General features: G+C 48.0%; 1 protein-coding gene across 15 annotated transcripts in view, besides 5 other annotated features; it reads right to left on the reverse strand.

Moving 5' to 3' along the window:
* Positions 1-26320, reverse strand: part of ADAMTS17 (ADAM metallopeptidase with thrombospondin type 1 motif 17) — a 370539-nt gene that overhangs the window by 216787 nt on the left and 127432 nt on the right. For 14 of the 15 annotated variants that reach the window (XR_001751118.2, XR_001751120.2, XR_001751119.2 and 11 more), the window contains one exon: positions 11095-11200. The exons of the other annotated variant lie outside the window; for it this stretch is intronic. Coding sequence is in view for 11 of the 14 variants with exons in the window: in NM_139057.4 (NP_620688.2) it covers positions 11095-11200 (106 nt within the window). In the remaining 3 variants the exon portion in view is untranslated. The remainder of the gene's footprint in view (positions 1-11094; positions 11201-26320) is intronic. 15 annotated transcript variants of the gene reach the window in all.
* Positions 3127-3196: a silencer, noted in NCBI's record as "silent region_6876". NCBI's record gives its function as "represses an Ori minimal core promoter by ATAC-STARR-seq in GM12878 lymphoblastoid cells {active_cell/tissue: GM12878}" and the evidence as "EXISTENCE:reporter gene assay evidence [ECO:0000049][PMID:35858748]".
* Positions 11427-12193: an enhancer, noted in NCBI's record as "H3K4me1 hESC enhancer chr15:100739855-100740621 (GRCh37/hg19 assembly coordinates)". NCBI's record gives its function as "activates a minimal SCP1, AML or CMV promoter by ChIP-STARR-seq in naive H9 embryonic stem cells {active_cell/tissue: H9 hESC(naive)}" and the evidence as "EXISTENCE:reporter gene assay evidence [ECO:0000049][PMID:30033119]".
* Positions 12194-12959: an enhancer, noted in NCBI's record as "H3K4me1 hESC enhancer chr15:100740622-100741387 (GRCh37/hg19 assembly coordinates)". NCBI's record gives its function as "activates a minimal SCP1, AML or CMV promoter by ChIP-STARR-seq in naive H9 embryonic stem cells {active_cell/tissue: H9 hESC(naive)}" and the evidence as "EXISTENCE:reporter gene assay evidence [ECO:0000049][PMID:30033119]".
* Positions 13731-14268: an enhancer, noted in NCBI's record as "H3K4me1 hESC enhancer chr15:100742159-100742696 (GRCh37/hg19 assembly coordinates)". NCBI's record gives its function as "activates a minimal SCP1, AML or CMV promoter by ChIP-STARR-seq in naive H9 embryonic stem cells {active_cell/tissue: H9 hESC(naive)}" and the evidence as "EXISTENCE:reporter gene assay evidence [ECO:0000049][PMID:30033119]".
* Positions 18921-19215: an enhancer, noted in NCBI's record as "tiled region #9518; K562 Activating non-DNase unmatched - State 21:Repr". NCBI's record gives its function as "activates a minimal TATA promoter and a strong SV40 promoter by Sharpr-MPRA in K562 cells {active_cell/tissue: K562}" and the evidence as "EXISTENCE:reporter gene assay evidence [ECO:0000049][PMID:27701403]".

The following is a 26320-nucleotide window of genomic DNA, read 5'->3' on the forward strand; positions in this document are numbered from 1 at the left end:
GCACCACCATGCCCAGCTAATTTTGTATTTTTTAGTAGAGACGGGGTTTCTCCATGTTGGTCAGGCTGGTCTCAAACTCCTGACCTCAGGTGATCTGCCCGCCTCAGCCTCCCGAAATGCTGGGATTTTAGGCATGAGCTACCACGCCCGGCCACGAAGCCCTGTCTCTTAAAAAAAAAAAAACAAGAACACACACACAAAACCAGGTGCTTTGGGAATTTTTAGGGAGAGTCTGACATTCTTCTTCAGTGTTTCTGACAGTTTTGCGGCTTCCTTCCATATTCTACGTGGAAAACCCCCATTTCACGGGAAACCCCAATTCAAGTTGACCAGCATGTTTCCATACAAGTTTGTAAATATCCAAGAGTTTGATGTGCTCAAGTTTAGCCAAAAATGTACCAGGTTTTATAATGTGTCAAGTCACATGTCTGGACTAGAGTGAGGTCTCTTTGACAGGTAGGATCAGTGGTGGCTGTACCAAGCACACCTGCTAAGAAACCTGTCTCCAGGTGATAGAGGAGGCTGAACGGAAACCTAGCGTCAAATTCCAAAGCCAGCTGACAATCCCTGAAAGCCTTCTAGCACTGCACAGGCAGCAAACAAAGCATGGCCAAAGAGCAGGGACCAGAGAAGAGATTCCAAAGCCAGGGTATGAAAGCTATCCCGAAAACACCCCCGCAGAAACAAGATGGAAAAAAAAGTCTTTTGCTTTAACCCACCAAGTTATATATACCTGCAGCTGCAACACTGAGCATCGGACTGAGGAATGAGTTAAACCAAAAGGTCCACCCCTTGGATGTCCTTAGCTATAGTTGTCTCAAACTATCATGTTCTACACGAGTCCCCTGGCAGGCCTGAGCCCTGCATTTCCAACCAACAGTCTCCAGGGTGATGCAGACGCTGCTGGTCCAAGACTACACTGTGAAGTGCAAGGCACGAGTTGAAGTCCTAGGGTGCCTCTCCACTGTGTGCAGCACCAAATGTGGGGCTTCTTCCCTCTGCCAGATTCTGAACTAGGCATGGGATGTAGGAGTTTTAGGTGAAAATTGTTAAATCAGAAAGGACAGCTCAACTGGGGGACGGTATATGGAGCGGGGCTTTGCGAGCTTGTTCTGCTGAGTAAGCCGAGTGTGGACCAAGCAGCTGGCAGGAAGTTGGCTGCCTTTTTCTTTATAACTCTCCTCCTGCTGCTGGGAGCAGTTTCTGACATCCCTGGGTCATCACAGAGCATGTGCCACAAAGCTTCACAGGCCCTTTATTAATTCAGGTGCTCCCCAGATGCAGAGCCACCAACACAGCCAACCACAGACTCACTAGGTGTCATTTACCAAAGCAGCACATGCCTCTGTATGGAAGGAATAACAGGAACATGTGCTCCTGCTGAAGGCTCCCCTGACCAGAAACCAACCCATGCATGCCTTTGGGTCGTCAGCAGGCGTCTTGTCACTTGTCTTCAGTGTCTGAAGCTGCCTCACGGCAGGCGTCCTCCTGGATCTGCTATGTCCTTGGTATGGCGATAGTATTACCAAGTTTGACTTCTAAAAACTACCACTGTGGATGCCCTGTCTTTCTCTTTAGCAATCCACCCGAATGCAATCTGGGAAAGCCGTGGCCAAGGTGTGGGCACAAGTTCAGGCCCTGACATGATACACCCAGCACCACAGGGCCCAGCTTCTCCCAGTGGTTGCCTGCCTCAGTTGCCTGCATCAGCATCACCGGGGCCTTGGAAACCCTAAGACTCTTCCCCAGCTCAGTTCAACGCTGACCAGCCTGCCTTCCTCTCATTGGCTGCTGATACCAATCACAAGTGAGGTGTGAGTCACTGAGGCTTACTTAGCAGAGGCCCTCTCAACACTGCAGAAGTGAGGCTCTGCTTAACAAGAGGATGCCCTACTCATGCTTCCAGCGACTCGCTAAGAAAATGATAACCTCCCTCATTCTACATCCATCTACTGATGTATATTTTTTTCCAAGAAAGGCCATTCCCAGATCCTCATGCTGGCTCCTGGAAACCACCATCTGTGCTCTGCTCTGATGTCAGGAACAAAGTGCATGATTCCGTGGCTCTCCCAGACCCCCCAGCCCTTCTGCTGGCCCTCTCTGTCTGCCACTGCCATTTGGCAAAACTACCACCTTCGCACAAAGTGAGAGCAAGCCATCTGTGACCTCAAACAGATGGAGATGAGAAGCGCCCTTTCCCAGAACGTGCCATTGAGTGGGCTGGTGGCAAGGTCCCCAAAGGCATTCAGGTTTCTTCCAGAGGCCACAGGTTGGGTTTTCCAGAGGCCACAGGTTGGGCCTGTCCACTACAGGAGAGGTCATTTCCAGAATGAGAAGAGAATGGTTGACCGGAGCAAGGGCACAGGGACAGCAGGAGGAACCCCAAGAGGGGCAGGTCTGGAGAAGTCAGGTACTTGGTTTCAAGTTGTCCACTGGCAGTGGGCAGTAGGTGCACAAGGGTTTCAGGCAGGAAACCAAACACCTGGAAGAATGGGGACACTCCTTCTGCAGAGAAAGCTGCATCAGATCACACCCCTGCCACCTGAGCACGAAGGAAACCCTAGCTGTGTAAGCCAAAGGTGTCTTTTCAAGTAAAGGTGAAGTGAGTCCAGTTACCAAGAGAGCCACCTGGACAGGGCTCAGCGCTGGCCCTGGTTCTGTTCACGTGTGGAAAGAGCACTGTGCTGTGGCCTGAGCTTCTGGTCCGAGTCTCCACTGGGCCACATAGCGCCGTGGGAAGGGAGGTGGCTCACCGTCTGCAAAATGTCGACTCTGGACATCCCTTCCAGCTCCAAGAACCACTCAGTTGAGGCTGCCAGAAGCTCTGACACAAGAAAACTACATCTCAGCTAACTGCTGGAAGAGTCTGGAAGTTCTGAGGGGATTTCAGAATCTGGTTATTTAGCCAAACTCAACTTCCCTCCTGCCTCCTCAAACACCACCTTGGATGACATTATTTTAGGCAAGGGAATCTACCTGATAATTAAATGCAAAGGATTCCTGGGGCAGAGACAAACATCAGCACAGCGTGTGTAACCTGCCTTATTCAGTAACGAAACTCTGGGGGCAGAGGAAGCCTCTCCACGGCTGGACTTCCTACCGTGACGCTGAGCTCCAGCCAACAGCTGTTTGGACATGCTGCTCAGAATACAGGTAGGACTGCATGTGCCTGCTTGCTGACAGGCTTTTAATGGCTTTCTGTTTGAGTTTCCCTCCCTCCAAGCCAGGCATCAGGCCTGGCCTGGTGGGATTTGGGAAGGCTGTGGCTGAGATCCTCTTTGGAACAGAGGCTCTGGGTTTTCCAGACAACTGGAAGAAATGTCGTCGCCTCGCATGAGACTCCACATCAATGATGAGACTCCAAGGAAGAGCAATGCAGTTTCTCTGCAACCCGTGAATGCAGGACTGTGAGAATTGCTGCAGACAGCAGTAGGGCCATTTAGACAGAGCCCACAGTCACAAATGCTCCTTGCTGCTCTGGTCACTGCGGGGGCACCTCCCATCCAAGATTCTCTGCTGGGGAGGGGCCAGAAGGAAATTCTGCTTTTATTTGTGTGAGAGAAAGGGAGAGGGGAGGAAGCAAGAAATCAGGCAATGCTGAGTGGGGCAGAGCAACAGCTGCCCCGTGGGTCCTCCACAGTCGCAAGCTCATTCTATCACAGCCAAGGCACCAGGAGGTTTGTGGCTTGTCAAGGTGAAGAACCCTGCAAGTCTCACCAGCAAAACACCCTGATGTGACTTACGCATTGCATGCCTGTATCAAAGTATCTCATGTAACCTATAAATATATATACCTACTATATACCCATAAAAATTAAAAATAAATATAAATACATAAATAAAAGGAAATAAGGCCTGCACGTTTTGAACAACTCTGGAATTTGGGTAAGACTGCCGTGCCCAGTGGACGCTCACACACGGACTTTGATGCAGGGGCCAAGTGCAGAGGAAACGTATTCAGGAATCACTCCAAGCTCCGCTGAGGGAAACGTGAGAACCCTTCAATGCTTCAAGCACCACCAACCAATTACCCTTCAGTAGAGAAGGGAAGACTGCCTGAGGCCATGATTGCTAAGCAGGAACTGGGGATGAGGCCCAGGCAGGAACCTGCTGGGAAACCTGTCTGGAGCCTGTCCAAGGCTCCATCCCTTCCTGGGGGGAGGCACCCCCTTTTCTGTTCCTCCAGGAAGGCCAACCCCTATGTGAACACAACTGCCCTAATCCCAGCTAGAACAAAAGAATGCTCCCTCTCCCTCCAGGATTTCTAAACAGTTATGACATTCTCAGAAATTCTCTCTCTGCATACCTTCCTTTCAATGCCGGCCCATCTGATGTCTGTGCTGTGCCTACTAGGTGGAGCACTCAGGCCAAACATTTGAGGCAAGAGCAGCCACCACCCATGACTGTCTGCTGGTGGGTTGCCTGCTTGCCTAGATCTGTCCTGGGTCCATTCCGTGTCCCCACAGCACTGTGCCGGCTGGCTCGTTCTTAATACAAATCACAGACAAGCATTTCCATGCTTCACACATCTGGATAATGGCTTGCTTTCCTTCCTGTTCTGGGACTGAGACAATTTCTTTTCATTTGAACCATGTCAACTCCAGTTATGGGAACATTTCCCCCACATGGCTCTCCCCCAACCTTCCCTCCTCCCCATCACTCCCCCAGACATGTGTCCACCCACTGCCCATGGGCCACACTTTGCAGGGATCAGATTCCTTCACGTTCTGAGCTGCAGGCCAGGCAAGCACGTGCCTAGTCAATGTGGCATCCTTCCCGACGTCCACTGTCCCAAACTCACCTTGGCACAGCATCACATCTGGCTGGAAGCATCCAATGTAATGAAAATTAGAGAAGACTGAGCTTCACCTGCACCTGGTGGCAGCCCCACCTGCCCTCTGGCCTTGCAGGGCTCCACCTGTCCCTCTGCTGCTCGCTCTCCTGCCTCTTCTGGGTCCAGGCTTCTGCCCGGCCCATTATTCCAGTGGCTCCACCACAGGTCACTTTACGCTTTGCGCCATGTCCTCCTTGAGGTCTCCCGGGAGCTGACGGAGTAGAGAGAGGACTAAGCCTGTCTATGCTAGCAACATTCAGAATAGCTGGGTCCTGAGCGCTCACTCAGAAGTGGTGAGGTGCATGGAACTCAGGGTGACCGAGAGAGAGGTGAAGTGGGTGGGTTATTTTCAGCACAGCCGGGCTCAGCACTGGGGGAGACCCAGTGTTGGCTCCCCAGCACTGGGGCCTTGGAGGCATGGCGGAAAGAGATGGTGGCAGGAATGTGGGCAAGGCCAGAAAGAGCAACAACGAGACACCTCCAATGTTGCGTCTTCCGCGGTTCTCCACCTGGGATGTGCGGAATCTCCTGGAGAGCTTTCCTGAGCTTCCTCCCCGAGAGTGAGCGCATCGGTCAACAGTGGGTGACGCTGGGCCACTGCATTTCTAAACGCCCAGTGCTCCTGCTGCGCGTCACTGCCAGGCACCATCTACGCCAAGCTCCCAGCTTGTGTCAAGACAGTGTTTTCCAGAGGCCACGGGCTGAGCCTCCCCACTACAGGAGAGGTCAACTCCAGAATGGAAAGAGAATGGTTTTTTGACCGAAGCAAGGGTGCAGGGACGGCAGGGGAAACCCGAGGAGGGGCAGGTCTGGAGAAGCTCCTTCCCGAGGAGAGGCTGCAGGAGGCTGAGCACGTGCGTGGCGCTGGTGCCACTTGGGCTGGAGACCTCCCGTGGTTTGGGCCGGCTCCCAGGGCCAGGCATTTCTTGAACCCTGGTCTGGCTCAGGCTTATCTAACAGACACTCCTCACTCCAACAAAGGCAGAGGTTTATTTTCTGCAATGAGAAACCTTTTTATTTCTCTGTATAAAGATATATCCTCTTCGTTTTTCTGAGTGGGTGGCGGATAGTTCACAAAGCAGACTCCCTCCCTTCCACTGTCACCCCACCTAGAAGGTCCTGTCTCTAGACATCTCCCAGGAGTTTGCTGCCTTACCTGATTGAGACACAGGTGGGCACAGGGTCCTGGGTTTCCCTAGGCCCAGAACGACTAGTGGACACTTGGTTCTGTGCCCTCCTGCCAGCAGCTGCACTAGGACCAGCTCCTCCTACCAGGCACCTCCCCTGGACCTAGCTGCAGCATACCAGACACACTTCCCTCGAAACACAAGGCACTCAGCAGCCTTCACAGAGCTATGCACTTTCTTTTATACCGGAGCTTCCAAATCACAGCCAACAATAGATGCTACAATCCAAACAGCTGCATTACACCCACCTTAAAGTCACACTAAAGTTACTGCCAACTGCCTCCTTGATCTGGGTTTTATTTTTGCTTTTTCTCACGGGCAGTCAGCATAGAGCTGAGCTTCTACTCATCATCAGGGGTCAGTCCTTCCTAGGACCAACCAGAGTTGAGCCTGAAAAGCAGGGGCCTATCTGAGAGAAACAAATGCTTACTTCTGGATTTTCCTCTTTCTCTTTAAAACCAAATTGTGATCGGCATGTTGGATGCTGACATCCAGGACAAGGCACGCTGTCCTGGTTTCTTGAAGGAGAAAACCCTGGGGCGTGTCATCCCAGCTGGGCAGTTTCTCTCAAGGAACTGCCCCCCATTCCATGGTTCCTGTCTTAGCAAGGATCAGCGGGTAAAAGATGCCTGTTGTAGCCATCTTCCCATGTGCAGGGGCTGCTGCTTTCTAACGGCCACCGCAGGATGGAGAAAGGCAAAAGGAGACCCCGGCTAAAAACACTCACTTTACGGTGCATTTCTCAAGCTACCGCTATGGAAAGGGACACAGCTGCCTTCCTCACACTCAACGCTGCCAACATTTCTAATTACTAGCTGAACCCAAAGGTAGCACATGGCTGCCCATCAGAATAGCCTTTCACGGGCAAGAAGACAACCAAGGGCACGGGTGTACATTTAGGAGCCTCCAGGCTGTTGTTAGCGTGACCGCTGCTCAGCAGCTGACTCTGCCTCCAGGCAGCAGCAAGGGTGGCCCCTCTGCAGCTTCTCACACAGCACCTGCACCAGGACTTGCCATCCCCCAGCTCGTGTCCGCAGCAGGGCTGGGAAGTCTTCTGCAGCCTGCTCCTTTGTCAGGGCACAGAATCAGAAAGCTGTTAATCGAATGAATCCACAGCTTCAGCTCAGTGGTTACACGGGAGTTAATGATGATATAGGAGAGGCAGGATCTGTGAGAAGGCCCCGGGCAAGAAGCTTTTAAAATCTCAGATTCATTTATGTATTAATATGTAAATGGAGCCTGTTCCATGTTTCCGTAAGACCACAGAACTATTGATCATTTTCACATTTTCACATTTTCACCGGCATCACTTTCATCCTAATAGTCTCAGACTTACATTAATTAAATGACTGGCCCATTGTTTGGTCTCAAAAAAAAAAAAAAAAAAAAAAAGAAGCTGTCAATCTCATCTCAAAAAAAAAAATCTGTCAATCTCACCCACAGTACTCGAGTGTCCTAGGGAACCCCTCTCCATGATACGGTCATTGTCCTTGGTCAGCCAGCAGCAGCTATACACATGGACATTTACTTCCCTTAAACTGAAAGTACCTTGGTTTTTGACTCTACAAGTTCTCTTATTATTTATTTCATGTAATTTGTATCCTTATTTTAATGGGCCTATTGCAGCATGTATAATCATATAAGTGATCCCAAATCATATTAAGTAGTAACTATAAATTTTTAAAAAAGCAATACTAGTTTCCTAACCTGTAAAGTAAAACCTATATAATGCCTACCTCATAGGACTGACTCAATGGCGTGATAAACACACAGCATCTCACACAGTACCCTGCACATAGTAGGTGTTCAATAAACAAGAGCTCTGACCTGAGTTAAACATCACTAGTATGTTATTAATTCATGGCTGAAGCAGCAGTATTGACATTACCATGGCAAGAACTTTAAGTTTAATTACAACTTAGGACCTATTTGACTGCAAATTGGATTAGAGCCAGTTTATTGTACCAAATAAATTATGTTTGATTTAAAATAAAGCCATGCATACAAAGAGACACTAGAAAGAGAAGAGGGAGGAAAGTATAATTCCAGGATGTAGATGAGTTAATTGCTGAAAATAAGCCCTAAATCTAGCTTTGTGTTTTCTGACAGCCAATGCAGCAACAAAATCATGTGAATCTGTGCAACTCATTGTTTGATAAGTGGAACGTACAGCTCACACAGAAGTGGAATTTTTTTCCTGACAATCAGATTTTAGGGTAGCTGCTTACACCAATCGCCCTACGACGCACATTAGGTAACGAACAGGAGAGCCACACCTTTGCGTGCTGTGTGCAAAGGCACACACGCACATACCTTCCCTCCAGAAATGTTTCACTTTGTCAGCATTCCATGGTAAGGGACCGGTGGGTGAGCCACCTGGAGACTTTCTTCACATAAGCTAAGGAATATGGAGTTAAATGGCTCCACTGTATTCCAAAATAGGGATCAGCTTTCCGGTTTCGTGTCTGTGAAACAGCCTGGCCGGTGGCTTTGCTGAGAGTGCAGGTTGGTCTTGGCCTTTTCCAGCAGCCCATATAGCCTGCAACCACAGCCCAGCAACCAGAGGGGCCTGCTGACGGGGAGGACATAGCTTCATCCTCAGGGATCTGCTTCCCAACACTTGCGACTAATCAAAGACTTCCCTGGGAAACCTGTAATTACCCAAAGAGGGGGAGGGCCAAATGCTAGCAAGATTTATTGGCTTTGATTAACAATAAGGTGTTTGTTTTTGTCGGTAATTGGAGTTCAATAGCAAGCTATAAAGAGTCCTCCAAGAAATTCTACACAGTCTATAGCTAAAGGGTACTAAAGTGTGTTTGAATCTAACCATTCATCTTTGCAGACCTCCGCTGCAGGGAGGCCAGTGTTTGATCCGGCACACTCGAACAGGTCATCAGGGAGAAAATGGCCCTCTGTATTTTTAATGTCTGATGAGAAAAGACCTCCATGCGGCATGTGTGCGCCCACACGTATGTGCAAATGGCACTTAGCATGTGCCATGCTGCTGGATGCTGGCGTGGGACATTGCAGTTCATGTAACTATAGCTCAACCCACCTTATTTAAATTGACTATTCAAAGGCCCATAGCAACTCGGGTGTTGGTAAGTACTCTGACATCCTGCATTCTCATAATCATTAGGTAATTGATTCTTAGGTACTACGGCATGCTGGTTGGGTCCCTTGATGGTGGGAAGATGTTTGCCAAACCCATTCTGATTTATGCTTTTTTTCCCCAGCAAATCACTCTTGGATACAGGATTTTAAGAACTCAGAGGTATTAATACAAATGCAATTGAACTTCATTTAAAAAACAGTTCTGTGCAAAGAATTGTCGCCAGTATTTTTAAAAATAGTGTTGAGATGAGATAACTGTGCACTCAGAGACAACTTCTCATCTTGCTTCACCAGGTCCTGGGTCAGTATCATGGGATTTCCTCCCTACCCCAGGAATTGCACATAACATCATTTCCACTCTCTGTACCTACTCACATCATGACATACAATAGGTACGGAAAGGCCAACTACCAAACCCCTCTACAGGAATGGAAGAAATTAAAATGGCGCTAGATAAACCAAAACAACAACAAAAACATGCAGCCATAAAAATGGATGAGTTCATGTCCTTTGCAGGGACATGGATGAAGCTGGAAACCATCATCCTCAGCAAACTAACCCAGGAACAGAAAACCAAACACCGCATGTTCTCACTCATAAGTGGGAGTTGAACAATGAGAACACATGGACACAGGGAGGGAATACCACACACCAGGGCCTGTTAGGGGATGGAGGACTAGGGGAAGGACAGCATTAGGAGAAATACCTAATGTAGGCGACAGGTTGATGGGTGCAGCAAACCACCATGGCACGTATATACCTATGTAACAAACCTGCACATTCTGCACATGTATCCCAGAACTTAGAGTAGAATTAAAAACAAAAAACAGCAAAAACAAAACAAAAAGGTCATAAAATCAATTCAGTGGATATGGACCAGCATTTTAAAAAGTGAATTAATAGAATATAAACTCATTAAAAGGCATCACTCATAAAAAAACAAACAAACAAAAAGTAAAGCCACAGATATGGCAAATGCTTGAGAAAAACAATTGCTTTTATACTCCTTCTTAAACACTGACTTTACTCTCGTAAAAACTAGAGTTAACACTTGAGATTCCAGGCATCTTACTGTGTAGGTCATTAGGAAACCTTTACAATAATTTTTCCCCCAAGAACTAGATTTCCATTTACTTATGTTCTATTCAATCCAATATAAACCTTTCCACTGTTTGGCATGCTCTGGCCTCCTCAATTTAATTTTCTTTTAAGCTCTTAAGCAGTCATATCACAATCTTTCCTTCAGAGAAACATAAAACAGACACCTACTCTAGGAAAAAGAACAACCCTCAGGCCACAGTTTGAGCGTCGTCTGGCTTTCTGCCGCTTGAGGCTTCCTACAGATGGTCACAACCTGGGGCCAGCCACTCAACAACCCCTCTGACGCTCTGTTTCCTCATCTGAACAACCAGGAGGTTGCCTCGGACTCTCCTTAAGGCAAGCTCTAAGGTTCTATGGTTATTTCATCCTAAAGAGAAGAATCGCTGTGTGCAAAGACTCTCATCCACAGCTGTTAATTCTTCAAAACTAAGACACTAAATTCTACAATCAGAAAGTTGGACTTTAGAATTGGCAGAAAAAGACATGGAAAGTCAACAGTATAAAGATGCATCCCATTATGTGAATAATAGACTTAGAGTGAATCAAAGATCATGCTCGTCCCGGAAAGGAAGTACAATTAAATAAGGACATCCTGAGAGGAACCTCTTCTTTCTAGTCTGTTGGCTTTAAGAATAGATGTGCACATCAAATTAACATTTCAACTCTCCAAGCCAATCGGTGCAGTCATCTCGTGGGGTCTCTGAGGGTTTGGACCCTAGTGTACTGACCTGGGTCCTTTATTGCAGATGCAGCAAAGGCATAGAGCAGCACTGTTTTAGAACTTACAGAATTCAAGTGAAAAATCTGCACTCAAAAAGGACTGAAAGAAAACAGGACGACACAGAGTCTGATACTTACTTGTGGCCCAGCTCATGGGCGATGGTAAAGGCCAAATTGAGACCATTGTCTTCGGCAAGCACACACTTCCTCTTAGCACTGCACACACCTCCTAAGTAAGCAATTCCTGCAGCAGAGACACAAAACACATCCTCTTCAGAACGTGGGAGGCCCTGGTCTCACCGGGCAAGTCCGCACGGTCAACGTCATGCACAATCAAGGCAGGCACACGGCAACAATGGTGACTATGAGCCTCAGCCCACCTGGGAAGGGTTTGTGTATGATGCTTTTGTGTTCACCCAATAAAACAATAACCACCGCAAGCATCCATCAGGCATCTAATACGCGTCGGGGGTGTGCTGAGTAGAGTACCCATAGCACCTAACTTAATCCCCGTGACCCAGGATGAGGGAAACTGAGGTTTGGAAAGGAAAGGTAACTCTCCCAAGGTCACCTGGATGGGCACTCCATGCTGCGATCCTACGCCAGATCTGTCTAACTTCAGCGCCTAGGGCTGGGACCAGGTGAGCCAGCCAGGTAAGACACCGAGGGTGCAAGGTTTAAGAGGCCCTGACTCCCCTCAGGCGATGCCCCTGCACCCGCACACCCTGAGAGGGAGCGCCTCCTCACAATGCGCATCCCGGGCGTGAGCCGGGGTCTGTGCTGGGTCTCGTGGACAGCACGCCCCGGAAGGCTGCACAGAATGTTCTGAAAAATGCTTCAGGAGCCCTTGAGAGAGGAAGACCCAGAGGAAGCGGAGCCAGCGCTGGGAGAGCCAGGGTCTTGAAGTCCTCAGTGAGCACCAGCCCACAAGCCAAACGTGTGTCTCCACACACACATGCTCGCACCTAAGGATCTCACCCTAACACAGGAAACCTGAACCACACACACCAGGAGAAACGCAATGCAGGGCAGTGGAGGCCGCATCCCAAGGATGGGTGGTGTTGGTGGGACGGCAGGCCAGCCACTGCAGGAGGGGCAGGTGTTTTCCAGGGGAAGAATGTGGCTTTGGCAGAGGGACGCATAGGATGACATGGAGCCCTTGGGTGCCGGCCCCTCTGGGGAATGCTGGGAGGGCAGCCACAGCAGGGGTGGGGAGGGCGAGCCCATGCCGGCCGCACTTCTGGGGGCTGACTCTCCAGGGCTCCCCACCACAGTACTCCCCGCACCCAGGAAAGACATGTCTCGCCCCGCAGGGACCACAGGGCTTATCTCAACAGGGCTCGCTAGGAAACCTGACATCCGCCCTCCCGTGGGCGTTTAACCCCGAAGGCAGTTCCTCGATATGCCCCTGTGTGACACGCAAGCGGATGGTGGCATGGGGTGGCTATAGGAGCTCAGTGCTCCCCTGGCTGTGCAGTCACATTGGGGGTTGGTGGGCAGTGGCTCTGCTGGCATAGCGCCATGGGGCGGATGACGGCTAAATACAGCTGGACTCTGCCCGTCAACTCCATGCCCTGGATGGGCTGTGGCCACCAGGAAGGAGCACTTGCTCTCCCCCATGGGCTGTCCCTCTGTCGAGCTGCACCTGCTCTCCCCCATGGGCTGTCCCTCTGTCGAACTGCACCTGCTCTCCATGGGCTGTCCCTCTGTCGAGCTGCACCTGCTCTCCCCCATGGCTGTCCCTCTGTCGAGCTGCACATTGCTCCTTTCCAAGGGCTCCTTCCATGAACTTGCCTGAGGTGTCTCAGGAGGGAAGGAGTTGGCAGAGGGCAGGAGAGAATGGGACAGGGGAACCATTTCATTAAAAATGACCCCTCCTTCCTGCCCCCAAAGAGCTAAACCAACATCCTCTTTGCTGATGTCCAAATCAAACTGGTGCAGAGTTCAGCCATACACAGGGTGGTCCCTCTGATGTGGTGTGGCTCTGTGTCCCCACCCAAATCTCATCTCAAATTGTAATCCCCATGTGTCAGGGAGGGACCGGGTGGGAAGTGATTGGATCATGGGAACAGTTTCCCCCACGCCGTTCTTGGGACAGTGAGTTAGTTCTCATGAGAGCTGATGGTTTTAGGAGTGTTTGGTAGTTCTTCCCCTCCCCCCTCTCTCCTGCTGCACTGTGAAGAAGGTGTCTGCTTCCCTTTCCCCTTCAGCCATGATTATAAGTTTCCTGAGGCCTCCCCAGCCATGCAGAACTGAGAGTCAATTAAACCTCTTTCCTTTATAAACTACCCAGTCTCAGGTAGTATCTTTATAGCAGCATGAAAACAGACTAATACATCCTCCTTCCTCATCCGCTCCAAAAGGCGCAGAGGAAGCTCACATGGCCTGGCTCCGCAGAGGTGCGGCTCCAGGGCTCATGTTTCACACACTGGGCCCAGGTACCTCATTGTGGGTCTATTTTTATTTGGAAACATGCAATGTGCTTAGTTAAAAATAAATAAAGAACAAATTAAATGTTATTTTGCCTCAAGATGGTTTTGTGGCCACGTGGATGTCACAACCCAGCAATGCAGACTATTAAAAAAAACAACACGACAACCAGAAAGGATGTGATGTGGTTTCTCGGTGCCTTCAAGGTCATTATTCTGGGTTTTGTTTAAAAATGTTTTGTGGGTTGCTTTTACAAGTCTACCAGTGAGTAGATGGAATACTGCTACACAGCCCTGATGGTATGTGCACGCGGCCCACGTGGGTGCACGCACACGCTCAGACACACACCCAGCAGTGCCCGCCCAGCCCTGGCTGCAGCCCCTCTGGGTCAATGAATCAATTAGAAACAATCAGATCTGCACGCCCTGGAGAAGTTGCCTGGTGAGGGGGAAGGGAGACATAATAAGGCCAGATGTGCTGAGCTTCCTGTCCTGAGTGTGCCCACCACGGGCTCTGATGCAGAACCGGCAGACCTCAAATGCCACACAAACACATCCCCCCTGGCCTCAGCCACACTCAGCACTCGGAGAAGGCAGCCCTGACTTTCCACTCTAATTAGGTAACGTGCAATGCTAGTGGAACAGTGAAGCAAGGAGCCTTCCAATAATTGCATTTTAATTTTTCCAAGGTGCAGATGATTTTTTTTTAACTAGAAAACAAAGAATCAGTTTATTTACAAGAAATGCTCTTGCACAAAGGTGGATCAAGGTCGAGTGCTTTTAATGATTTATTCCAGTCGTGACCAGCCTGGTCATAAAACTGAGCAAGGAAAAACACATAAAAGAAACAGCTCCTGATAACAGAGCACAAGACCTGTGTGTTTATGAGAGATGAGGTGGAAATGCTTAGAATGCACAAAACAAAGTCTGGAGAAAATCCCAGGTTGTTGTAAAATAAGAGCTGTGGGGGGAGTAAACAGTAATTAAGCCATCCAGCTTCGCAGAAAACAAAGCCCACCACTATTCCATGTTTCTAAAAAGAAACTGCAGTCTAGGGAAGACAGAGCCCTGGAGACTCAGAGATACCCCCACCGTCTCAGGCTGCAGAAGGCACCAAGCTGGGAAAACCCGCCAAATCCCCATATGCTGGTGCTTGTCAAGAAATGAGGAAAAACCAGTTTTCTCTGTATTGATTTATTAAAAACTGAGGTCTGTGACAAAGCTCTGCTAATTTCAGTGCTGACACTGTGGAACCTTCTGAGTTAACTGGAATTGCCTTATGCTGGGGAGAGGCTTTTAGACCCTGCAGTGGTGCTTTCACATCCAGCCTTCTATGATTTAAAATTCTCCACAGATCACAGAACTTATTTAAAAATTTTTAAAAACATCAATTCCACATGTTTGCATAGTTTCTCGTAACAAAACGGAGGCAGAAAGGCAACTGGAATTTATTAGTCGTGCCTCTAATGGGCTTGACTGCTCTGAACACTCGACCCTCCCTTGCTTGGCAGGCATGACTGGTCCCATTTTATAGATGGGGAAACAGAGGCTCCACTACACCCCTGACAACAAGCGTGTGCTTGTGTCCTAAATGGTGGCTCACTCCAACTCTACTATACCCCTGACAACAAACACACTCTTGAAAAAATCTGAAACACAGAGGGTAAAAATGAAGGGGTGTGGGCCAGGTGCGGTGGCTCATGCCTGTAATCCCAGCACTTTGGGAGGCTGAGCTGGGAGGATCGCCTGAGGTCAGGAGTTCAAGACCAGCCTGGCCAACATGGTGAAACCCTGTCTCTACTAAAAATACAAAATTGGTTGGGTGTGGTGGCCCACGCCTGTAATCCCAGCACTTTGGGAGACCGAGCAGGCGGATCATGAGGTCAGGAGATCGAGACCATCCTGGCTAACATGGTGAAACCCCATCTCTACTAAAAATACAAAAAATTAGCCGGGTGTGGTGGCAGGTGCCTGTAGTCCCAGCTACTTGGGAGACTGAGGCAGGAGAATGGCATGAACCTGGGAGGTGGAGCTTGCAGTGAGCCGAGATCGCGCCACTGCACTCCAGCCTGAGAGACAGAGCAAGACTCTTTCTCAAACAAAACAAAACAAAACAAAAACAAAACAAAAAAACACCCAAATTAGCCAGGCATGGTGGCAGGTCCCTATGGTCCCAGCTACTCTGGAGGCTGAAGCAGGAGAATCACTTGAACGCGGGAGGTAGAGGTTGCAGTGAGCTGAGATCCATCACTGCACTGCAGCCTGGGTGACAGACCAAGACTCTGTCTCAAAAAAAAAAAAAGAAGGGGTGTAATGAATTCTTCTGACACCTGGAGAAGCTCATTTAATTTATCGAGAGAAGAGGCTCCCATCCACTAGCTCTGTGACCCATCTTCCCATCCATGCCAGCACAACACAGGTGCTCATTTGTCTTCTTTCCTTTCCTTTTCTCAGTAGAAGCATAATTTTGTAGACAAAATTGGGTGAAGAGACTTAATTAGTTCTTTTTCAGTAGAAAACTACATGATAGAAGCTCATAACTCTTTATCTAGGGGCTGACCACTCGACTCTCTCTAGACTTAAGGAATAAACAACAAACAACTGTATAAACTCTGGTTGATGCAGTAAGTTGTTGCATATAAGCCATCTGCAGCTGGTGGCCTTGCTGCCCATTAGTCCAACCTTACAGGGTCTGCCTTTGAGAGAGATGGCTCAGTTTTTCCCACCAACTGCTCAACTACCAAACACCGTCATAGTTATTTCTGGGACATCAAGCTGTCAGTCACAAGAGAGCATGTGGCATCTGCCATACACCAACCATAGTCATGGATATTGGATTGCAGATTCAGGCTCATTGACAAGTCCTTGTGTTCTTGCAAACCTAAGTGGATGTGGGTGTGATCTGAATGGCTGAACAGCATTTAGGAGCAAATGTCTTAGAGGCTAGGATGTGACAAAGGAAAACTAACTACAAAGGAATAAAAAAGTTGGACCCCTACCTCACACCACATTTAAAATATAAGTCAAAATGAATTGAAGAGATAAATGTGAGTGCTAAAACTATAAAAGTCTTAGAAGAAAACTAAGATGGAAATCTTCCTGACCTTGGTGTAGACAAAGCCTTCTTAGCTATAACATCAAAAGCACAAGTAGGGGTGGGAAAATCCTAACCTCTTACAACAGAAGAGTAGCTGAGGCGGAAGGGGCTGGGAGTGAGGTAAGGAGTCACCTTCATTTCCACTGCCAGCCCAAGCAATGAATGTGCTGGCACATTCTCTAAGGAAGCCTTCCAGACTTTCCCCTTGGCAATTATGGTTTTCTGTGGACCGGGAGTCATACAGCAGTTATGGCCTTGCAGGCTAATTCAGTTTGTTGGTTTGTGTGTTGTAACGCCATGTGAGCTGTTGCTTCATGATGGGGTTCTCAGTTATGGGTCAGAGTCAGGAAAGGCTACATATTCTTGGCCTTGCTCCCTAGGGTTAATGAGACCACAGCTTAGGACACAGATGTCCTTGGCTTCGGTTTCCCAGGTACCTCCAGGATCCTGGACTTCAGGAGGAGATGCTGTCTCTGGTAAGAGAATCACACGAGTCCCCACAGATGACTCGAGGGTCCCTGGGCTGGAGCAGTCACTCCTACAAGATAACATTTTCATGTGTTCTGTGAGTTAAGGGTAAGTGGAGGAATAAATTGGCCCTGGGATTTACAAGTTAGAAGCCACAAGTTTATGCCAACAGTTTGCTGCTAGAAACCAAAACATGCCGGGAGAGGGGAAGGAAAGAGAAACGAATAAGTGGTGATGTTCAAAAGGCCACAGCCAACTTGAGCCAAGTGCATGGAGATATCGTGCAGATTACCCACCTGCCAGAGAAGATGATGCTCGTGTCAGCAGGACCCATCACGTGGGAGGGGTTCTCCAGGGAGCAATGTAACGTTTGTCAAATCACAGTGTGCCTCTCTTCGGAGAACCCCAGAGAGGCTCAGGGGCTTCTGAAACAGGCCCTGATGCCCACCAGAAATGGTCCCAGGCAGGTTCACCTCAGGACATCAGAGGAGCCTTGAAAATCTCTTATTTTGACAAACACTTTGTCAAGTGTTTCCTGACTGCCTGTATGTGACACAGGCCTTGCGCCGGGCAGAGTCTAAGCTGAGCAGGCACACGCCTAGGGGAAGCAGCCTCCAGGCCATTTCAGCAAAGAGACAAAGGCGGTAGAAAGGTGAGCAGGGATGTTCCAAGCCAAGCCTCAGGGCCTGAAGGGTGGGCGCCGCGGTCTCTGAAAGACAGCTGTGCCAGGGACCGAGCCCAGGTCTGGCCCCTCCAGAGGGCAAACAAGTGGAGACTGGAGAGGAAGCTCCACACTGAGCCACGCACCCACTGATCCCTGCTCCTCCCTCTGGGTCACCTGTCACAGCTGAGGGCCCCTCAGTGAGCCACACCCTCATTCTGACCGCTCTCTCGGCAAACTTTCCCAGACCATGGGTGGCTCCCTGTGTGGGGAGCAACGGCGGGCGGCACCGTGAATGCAGCAGGTGATGAGTGCCTTGGAGTTCCCTTTCAGGAGACCTCTGGGCCTCTGCATGTACTCCCTGGCTACCAGAGAAAAGCCCTGTCTTCTAGCATTTGGCATTCAGGAAACACCATGCCCTGACCAGCCTGCCGGATGGCTGCACCTCAGCAGCACTGCACCGTCACCTGTGTGCAGGCTCCTGTGTGTGCACTTGAGTGTACGTCTGTAGACATGGGCATGCCCAGGACACCCCTCCCCTTACTGGCAGCATGAGGGTGATGCCCACACTCACTCCTACAGCAATGGACCCTGGTGAATTTTGAAAACTGTAACACACTCACATTCTCTATCGACTGCACTGCTTGGCGCCTATTTCGGTCAATAATTTTAAAATGAACTTGCCTTAGTCCCACTTCAGTGACAGCTTTCAGCCTCCTCTATCTTCTCTCACTGGAAATGTCTCCCCTTTGCTGGTGGGTTAGAATGCCCTCCCTCTCCCTGGGGAAAGCTGGGGTTTTAGGTGGGGGTGAGGCTGAGAAGAAGTGTGGTATGTTTTGGCTAAAAATAATCTCCTCCATGTGGGGAACGGGACAACTAAGTCTTCCATGGGGTCAGATATCCCCAAAGGGAATCTGGGAATGGATCGAATCTCCCTTCAGAGATTCAAATGCGACCTGGAAGGAGGGGCACATTCCTGACTCAGCCTTCCCAAGGCAGCTGTCTGAGGTGTGTGCCTAGAATCCTGATCTTTCTCAGCATTTCTGTTTGAATCACAGTTATTAGAGCAGCCACAGGCAGGGCCACGAGCGGAGGCTGCTCAACTGTGATGACAGCCGGAGCCAGGAAGAAGGCAGAGTAGGGGCTGGTAAGAGCAAATACGTGCATTTTAATCATGCTCACTGTTATGGGCTAAACTGTGTCCCCCTGAAATTCAGAGGTTGAAGCCCTAATCTCCAATGTCACTGTATTTGGAGACAGGGCCTTCAGGGAGGTGATGAAGGTTAAATGAGGTCAGCAAGGTGGGGCCCTGATCCAACAGGTCTGGGTCCTTATAAAAAGAAGAAGAGACACTAGAGGTATTTCTCCCTCCCTCCCTCTTTCCCTCTCTCCAAGTGAGCACAAGAGGGCAGGTGAGGACACAGTGAGAAGGCAGCTGTCGACAAGCCAGGAAAGAGATTCCTTATCCCAAACCAGTCCTACTGGCACTGCGGAGTTCCAGCTTCCAGACCCATAAGGAATAACTGTGTGCTGTGTAAGCCTCCCAGTCTGCAGTATTCTATAAGAGGAGCTCTAAACAAGCTAATACACCCAGAGTGCACCCTGGGTCCCCTTGCTCAAACATGGCTAACCCACGAGCATGGCGGCCACCGGAACTCACCATGCTCATTTGCCACACAGCACTGCAGCCACCTAATGCGCCATGGGCTTGGCCTTGATGTTCACGACATGGTTTAATAACAAGGAACTGATCTGGAAAGTTGTAGGAGCATCAGGTTGAACTAGTTACAAAAACGCTTGGTAGAGAAGAATAAAAAATATGGTGGAGTGGGGGTGTTCTGTATTTCAAATCATACAACACCTTAGCCAGCTGCATCTGTAGGCAGAGAAGTGCCATCCCTCAGTCGTTTGACAATGGGGTACACCTTGCAAGTTACAGCCAGGGATGTCCATCAGGAGAAACTAAGGCACCAGGGAGGGAGGTGAGAGAATCATGACAACATGCCAAACGTGGACCCATCACTCACGTCATTGGCCATTTCTATTTGCAGGAGACTCCCTGGAAATCCCCAGGCCCTAGGAGATGTTCTAAAAACACTCAAACACAGCCTTGGAGGGAGGAGTCAGTTTTAAAAGACTCTTATAAAAGTAATATACTGCTAGCTCTGAAGAATCGGAGGCTAAAATCATCTCTTCAAGTCCCCAGGGAATCCCAAAGAACTCCAGGGGAAGGTGGGATGGGCCAGAGAGCTCTGGAAGCTTCCAGGTCTGTTGCAAGCCTCACCTGGTACACAGTAGGCTCTTCCAGGTCTGTCAGGAACCCAGGAGCCTCCCCTAGCACACAGTAGGCTCACAAAAAGGGAGCACTGCTGCTGGTTCTGCTTAGCGAATCTCAATGAAAACCGAGCGGCAACAGGCATTCCGGGTGTGCAGAACCAAATGCAGCAAGCCAGAAACATGTGCTGCTTGTTCTTTTTACCTTGACTCATTCAAAAATCACAAATGCATAAGGCCAGAAGACAGAAGGTGCTCATCACTACAAAAGCCAAGGAAGTGGGTACCTGTGCAGAGGGAAGGGGCTGTGGCTGGGACGGGGCCCACCTGCAGGGCTGATAGACTCTACTGTTTGACCAGGATGCTGGTCACAAGGATGTTTGCCTTATAATAATTCATTTAGAGATCAAAAAGTCAGGTCAGTGTTACCCCAGAGGGACTAGTGACCAGAAGGGGCATGAAGAGGCCCTGCCCGGGGGCTGATATTGTCTTGTTTCTAGATCCAGGTCATCATTCATCATTACACAAAGCTCATGAGTTTACAAATATTCACTGAATAGTACACTTAGATACACTATCTATATGTAAATTATGCCTCAATTATAATTTAAAAGATAACAAAGGGATACACACATGCATGTGAAATAGAAGGAGAAGAGGCCTTGGTTTAAGAATCTGGGAAGAGTCAAGGTCACTGGACAATTTAGATAAGGGTATGTCTTTGGTATATCCAAGGGTCATGAGTTGATGAAGCTATAGTGATGTGTATTAGTCAAAGTCTGCTTTCACCTGCAACACCAGGCTTTACCTGTATCACTCGTATTTCTCGGACCATATGAGCCATTTCTAATTTACCTTTACTGCCTTCCAAGGGCTCTTCCAATGGTACGTTCTTGAGACTTGCCTGAAACAACCTTGAAAAACAGCTTCACTCCCTCTTATAGCCGTATTTCTAAAGGATGAATACAATGCAAGGCCATGCATGGAAATATTTGCCAAGTTAGCAAAAAAAAAAAAAAAAAAAAGGAAGAAAGAAAGAAAAGGATTCTCAAAACAAGTAACCGCATTTCTTGCTAAATGCTTAGCCCAGCAAAGCCCATTCTTTGGGGGATGAAATGTGGACTTTTAGTGAAACCTCGGGACAAGGGTAAGCTCTTTCAATCTACACGTTGTTCTAGACACCTCTCGGGGCCCTGCTCTTGGGCTGCGCACAAAGGTCAGCCCAGGCCTCAGAGCAGCTCTGGGCACCAGCTCCTGAACGCCAGCTCCTGAGTTCAAGTCCATAAATCACTCCCTGGCAGGGCATCACGGCCCCTCCACTAAAGAAGTAACCCAAACATGGGAAGCCAGCCATCATTTGGGTGTTGACTCAACAGTCATGAACTAAAGTCAAACTACCATGACAAGCCCTCCCTTCTGATGGCCCAGGGGAAGCCCTAGGACAATCTCCGCCTTTGCTGACAGGATATAAAAATGACGGCATTACATTTTATTAAAAAAAAAAAAAGCCTCTTAGAAAAGAATGTTGATGAGAGCCACACCACGAAGTCAAGTGGGCACTAAGATTACAAAGAGGAAACAGGTGACTCGTGGCAGAATCAGTGGCAGACAAGGAAGATGGCCAGCCTCAGAATCATCGCCAGCGTGGCAGAAAGTGGATGGTACCAAGTCTCAGGTCCCATCTTCAGGGTGAAGGTATGTCCCTGTTCCATGCTTATGGAGGCAGCTCATTACCAGTGGGTTACAATGGGTTTCAGAATCATCCCAGACTATGGAAATAGCATGCATGTCAATGTCTGTCTTTAAAATGTCAAAGGTCAAGAAAAACAAATGTTCTTCACCTTTCAAGCAATTTCATACATTTCCAGGTTGCCTCTATGCCTCTGTGGTGGTCCGCGGGCAGATCATGAGGTCAGGAGATCAAGACCATCCTGGCTAACACGGTGAAACCCCGTCTCTACTAAAAGTACAAAAAATTAGCCGGGCATAGTGGGCGCCTGTTGTCCCAGCCACTCAGGAGGCTGAGGCAGGAGAATGGCGTGAACCTGGGAGGAGGAGCTTGCAGTGAGCCGAGATCGTGCCACTGCACTCCAGCCTGGGAGACAAAGCGAGACTCCATCTCAAAAAAAAAAAAAAAAAAAAAAAAAAAAAGAAGTGAGCTGGAACAGGGAGGGGTAAGTAATGAGGCAGCGGCTGCTGATCAACACTAACATTTGTCAGACACTTACTATGTGTGTACCAGGTCCTGCACTAAAGAGTCCCATGCGGGATCTCATTTTATCCACACCACCACTTGGTGAGGTACATATTGTTATTATCCTTGCAGTACTACTGATGAGGAAATTAAGACTCTGAGAAGTCAACAACTCATCCGAGGTCAAACAGCAAATGAGGGGTGGAGCTGGGATTCAATCTCAGGTCTTCAGGGCCACAGGTCCTGTCCTAAAGCACTACATCAGAGACCGCAAGCTGGCAGCCACAGAAGGATTTCAACTGCAGGAATGTTTTATTTGGCCCATTTAGGATTGAAATGAAAATTCTAATCAGTCACCAACAATTGAAAATTAGAAGAGCTAGTCAGGCGCAGTGGCTCACGCCTGTAATCCCAGCACCATGGGAGGCCAAGGTGGGTGGATCACTTGAGGTCAGGAGTTTGAGGCCAGCCCAGCCAGCATGGCTGAAACCCCGTCTCTACTAAAAATACAAAAATTGGCCGGGCGCGGTGGCTCACGCCTGTAATCCCAGCACTTTGGGCAGCAGAGATGGGCGGATCACGAGGTCAGGAGATCGAGACCATCCTGGCTAACATGGTGAAACCTCGACTCTACTAAAAATACAAAAAATTAGCTGGGCGTGGTGGCAGGCACCTGTAGTCCCAGCTACTCGGGGGCTGAGGCAGGAGAATGGCGTGAATCTGGGAGGTGGAGCTTGCAGTGAGCCGAGATTGCGCCACTGCACTCCAGCCTGGGTGATAGAGCGAGACTCAGTCTCAAATAAATAAATAAATAAATAAATAAATAAATAAATAAATAAAAATACAAAAATTAGCAGGGCATGGTGGCCTGTGCCTGTAATCCCAGCTACTTGGGAAGCTGAAGAAACGGTTGCACCTGGGAGGTGGAGGTTGCAGTGAGTTGAGACTGTGCCACTTCACTCCAGCCCGGGCAATAGAGCAAGACAACTTCATCTCAAAAAAAAAAAAAAAAAAAAAAGTTAGAAGAGCTTACATAAAATGCAAATTGCCTGACTTTTAAAAATATTGAATAACTGGAAAATGATAGACTGTTCAATAAATGGCACTGGGACCACAGGTGTCCACAGGGAGATGAATGAATTAAACTCTCAACCTCATGCCAGACACAGAAACAAACTCAAAATGGATGAAATACACAAGAATGGAAACAACTTCGAATCTGTCAGAGGAAAATGTAGTGGAGGTCTTTATGTTCCTAGAGTAGCAAAGAATTTTTAAAACAAGAAACAGGAAGCAAAGATCATAAAAAAGATTGGGCTATCTAGCTAAATCCATACTGAAAACTTCTATGTCATAAAAGGTACCATAAACAAAGGTAAAGACGAAGAAAAGACATAATGAAGACATTTTCAATTCCTAAAACCAAAGATTTAAAAAGATATACAACCTACCTTGTCACCAGAGAAATGAGAAATAAAATCACAAGAAGATATCAATTCACACCCAGCATGTTGACAAAACAAAAAATTCTGACAATAACCGGCAAGGTTATCACAATTAAAGACTCCCAGATGTTATTAAAGAGAATATAAATTGGTATATTGGCCATTTTAGGAAGTAATTTGACCCACTGAGAAAGGCTGAAAGGTGTGTAGAAGTCAGGAAGTGGTTATATCCTGGGAAGTGGCAGGTCACCATCCAGGCTGCATTTCCATGCTGTTGTGCCCACCCACCTGTCCCTGCTGACAGGAATCTCGGTAGCCTCTTATGTGTATGCACACATATGTACACATGCATGTGCACGTACCACCACCCCACGAAGGGATACTATTATCATCCTCATTCACACATGGGGAAACTGAGGCACCAAGAGGGTAAGCAAATCCCCCAGGCTCATGCTGCAACCAAGTAGGAGAATTCACTGAACCCAGCCAGTCTGGCTGCAGATCCCCTGTAACCGCAGCAAAGGTAGAGAGGACTCTGCCCCCAGGGAATGTACAGCAAGCCTGGGAGACAGACTCACAGTCAGGCCCGTGCATAACGCATTCCAGGGAAGACAGGAGAAGCCTGCCAACTACGATTCAAAGTCCAGGGAGTTTCCTTTTAAAACACAAACTAACAAGGCTCACGTACAGATGTCTTTAACCCTTGAGACTGCAAAAGCTAATATGCATGTGTGTATTTCTTGCAAGAAGCTTTATAGCTTTCATCTAATTTCCAAAGGGATCCATAACCTCAGAAAGGTTAAAAACACTAAACACAGGAATCCCAGAATGTAATCAAAGACATTCCCTAGGAAAAAAAAAACCCTCTCTGATGAGCCAAGTCAGACCAAAAGATCCTGGGAAAATTATCCTCCAGCCCTTAGGGGTTACCCAAGCATTCCTCAGAAGGTGATAACCAAAAATGCTTTGTAGAATGTGCTTTTCGTTGCCAGATCTCAACTAACCGACACATAGAAAACATGAGGAAAGGTCTCACATTATTCACCAACAATGTCACTTGTAAAAGAGCAGCCAAATTGACTCTTTATTATGCCTGGGGCGGGGGTGGGGTGGAGTGGAGTGGGAATCAGCCAAGGTAATGCATAGGGTGACGCGTACCTTTTTGTCAATCAGGTGCACGCATTTAATTTAGAAAGCACCCTGAGTTAAGCATCCAATTTAAATTAGCCTGTAATTGTAAATAATATAAAAAAAGAAGAAAAACAGCTGAGGGATATGCACATATCCGTAGTTTAACATATATATGATTTACAAAGGTATAATCTTGAGTGTGTATATATAAAATACAAATTTTATATATACCACTCTATTCTGTTTGGACAAGGCCAATACCTGTTCCCTGGTCCCAACTGCAGGGCCTTTATTGTATCTTGGTATGTTTAACTGAATTGAACATGAATTGAACATCCATGGAGATGGACTTGGCACAGCAGAGTATATGCTTACAAATGTAACAAGCTCTCTCTGTTTTCTGAAAATTAGTATTTCTAAAAACTGGATTTGTTTTGGGTTGATAAGAGGAAAAACATGATATAAAAGCCATTTGTTGATGGTGTTCTCCATTTGATGGATACTGACAAATCACCATGATTGCTCAGAAAATCGATGTCAACATCCACTCTGTCAGGGTCTAAGACCAAAGAAGCATTTACGGCTTCCTCCCCGTCCACAGCACACACACCACACACACCCCGGGAACATCCCATGCCAGTGCCCGTCAGCATGGGAACAGAAAAGAGCTGTGTTATTTTCCTAAATCACTCTCTCTCGGTCTAACATAAACAACTCACCAAACAAAACTTGAAGACAAGGCAGGAGAATCATTTTAAAATGGGATCCAAGACCTGAGACGCAAAGCAAAAGCCTGCCTAGATCCTTCTATTCATCCTATCCCTTCCAAGGCTGATCCATGCCAACATAACCTTTGAGTATCAAACATCAGAAGGTCTGTGTGCCTCAGCCCTGTCAAGGGGCAGGTTTCTCCTTTGCCCTCTCCTGCACCTGGGAGCACACGCACTACCAGTAGAGAAGGGCCATCTGGCCCCGTCCCAGCCGGGACCCCTGAGGGTCAGATAGAGGTGCTGAGCCCCTATGTCAAAGTTATTAAATGTTTTTGTTTTGTTCCATGGTAGCTCTTTTTTTCTCCTTTCTGATGAATTTACAAAAGAAAGCAAGCTGCTGAGAAGGCCCTGAAAGTGAGGAGGGGCAAGAAAGATGACTAGTTACGGAGAGTGAGGGTTGTTTTTGTTTTTTGTTTGTTTGTTTTGCCAAAAAAGCCTGGATAGAGTTATCTCAGTTATCTGGCGCCCTCCTGAATGGAACCCCGGAGTAGCTCCCATGTGGAAGAGTCCCTGGATTTTCCCCAACCCCACCGTCTCCCCCTTCAGCCATGTCGACAGGGAAGATAGGAACTTAGAACCCATTTCTCACTGGAGAGGAAAACTTGTCATCTGGCTTTGTGAAGAAGGTTCTACCTTATGCTCATCGCACATTATCTTTGCTATGTGCTAAGATATCATATTTAAAAGGCCAAAAAAAGGGACAAAAGAAATGTAAAATACTTGAATGAGCTTGTATTATAACATTAATATTATTGGGAGTATCTGCTTTCCAGGCTGAAGTGATTCATTCATTATTCTAGTCTTGCTGTAGTCCTTTGTAATTTGTAGTAATTATGTAATTGTGGTAATTATGTTTTTTTAATTAAAAAAGTATAATAATAAAAAACTTGAAAAG

This window comes from Homo sapiens, chromosome 15 (genome assembly GCF_000001405.40).
Source record: "Homo sapiens chromosome 15, GRCh38.p14 Primary Assembly".
Lineage (NCBI taxonomy): Eukaryota > Metazoa > Chordata > Mammalia > Primates > Hominidae > Homo > Homo sapiens.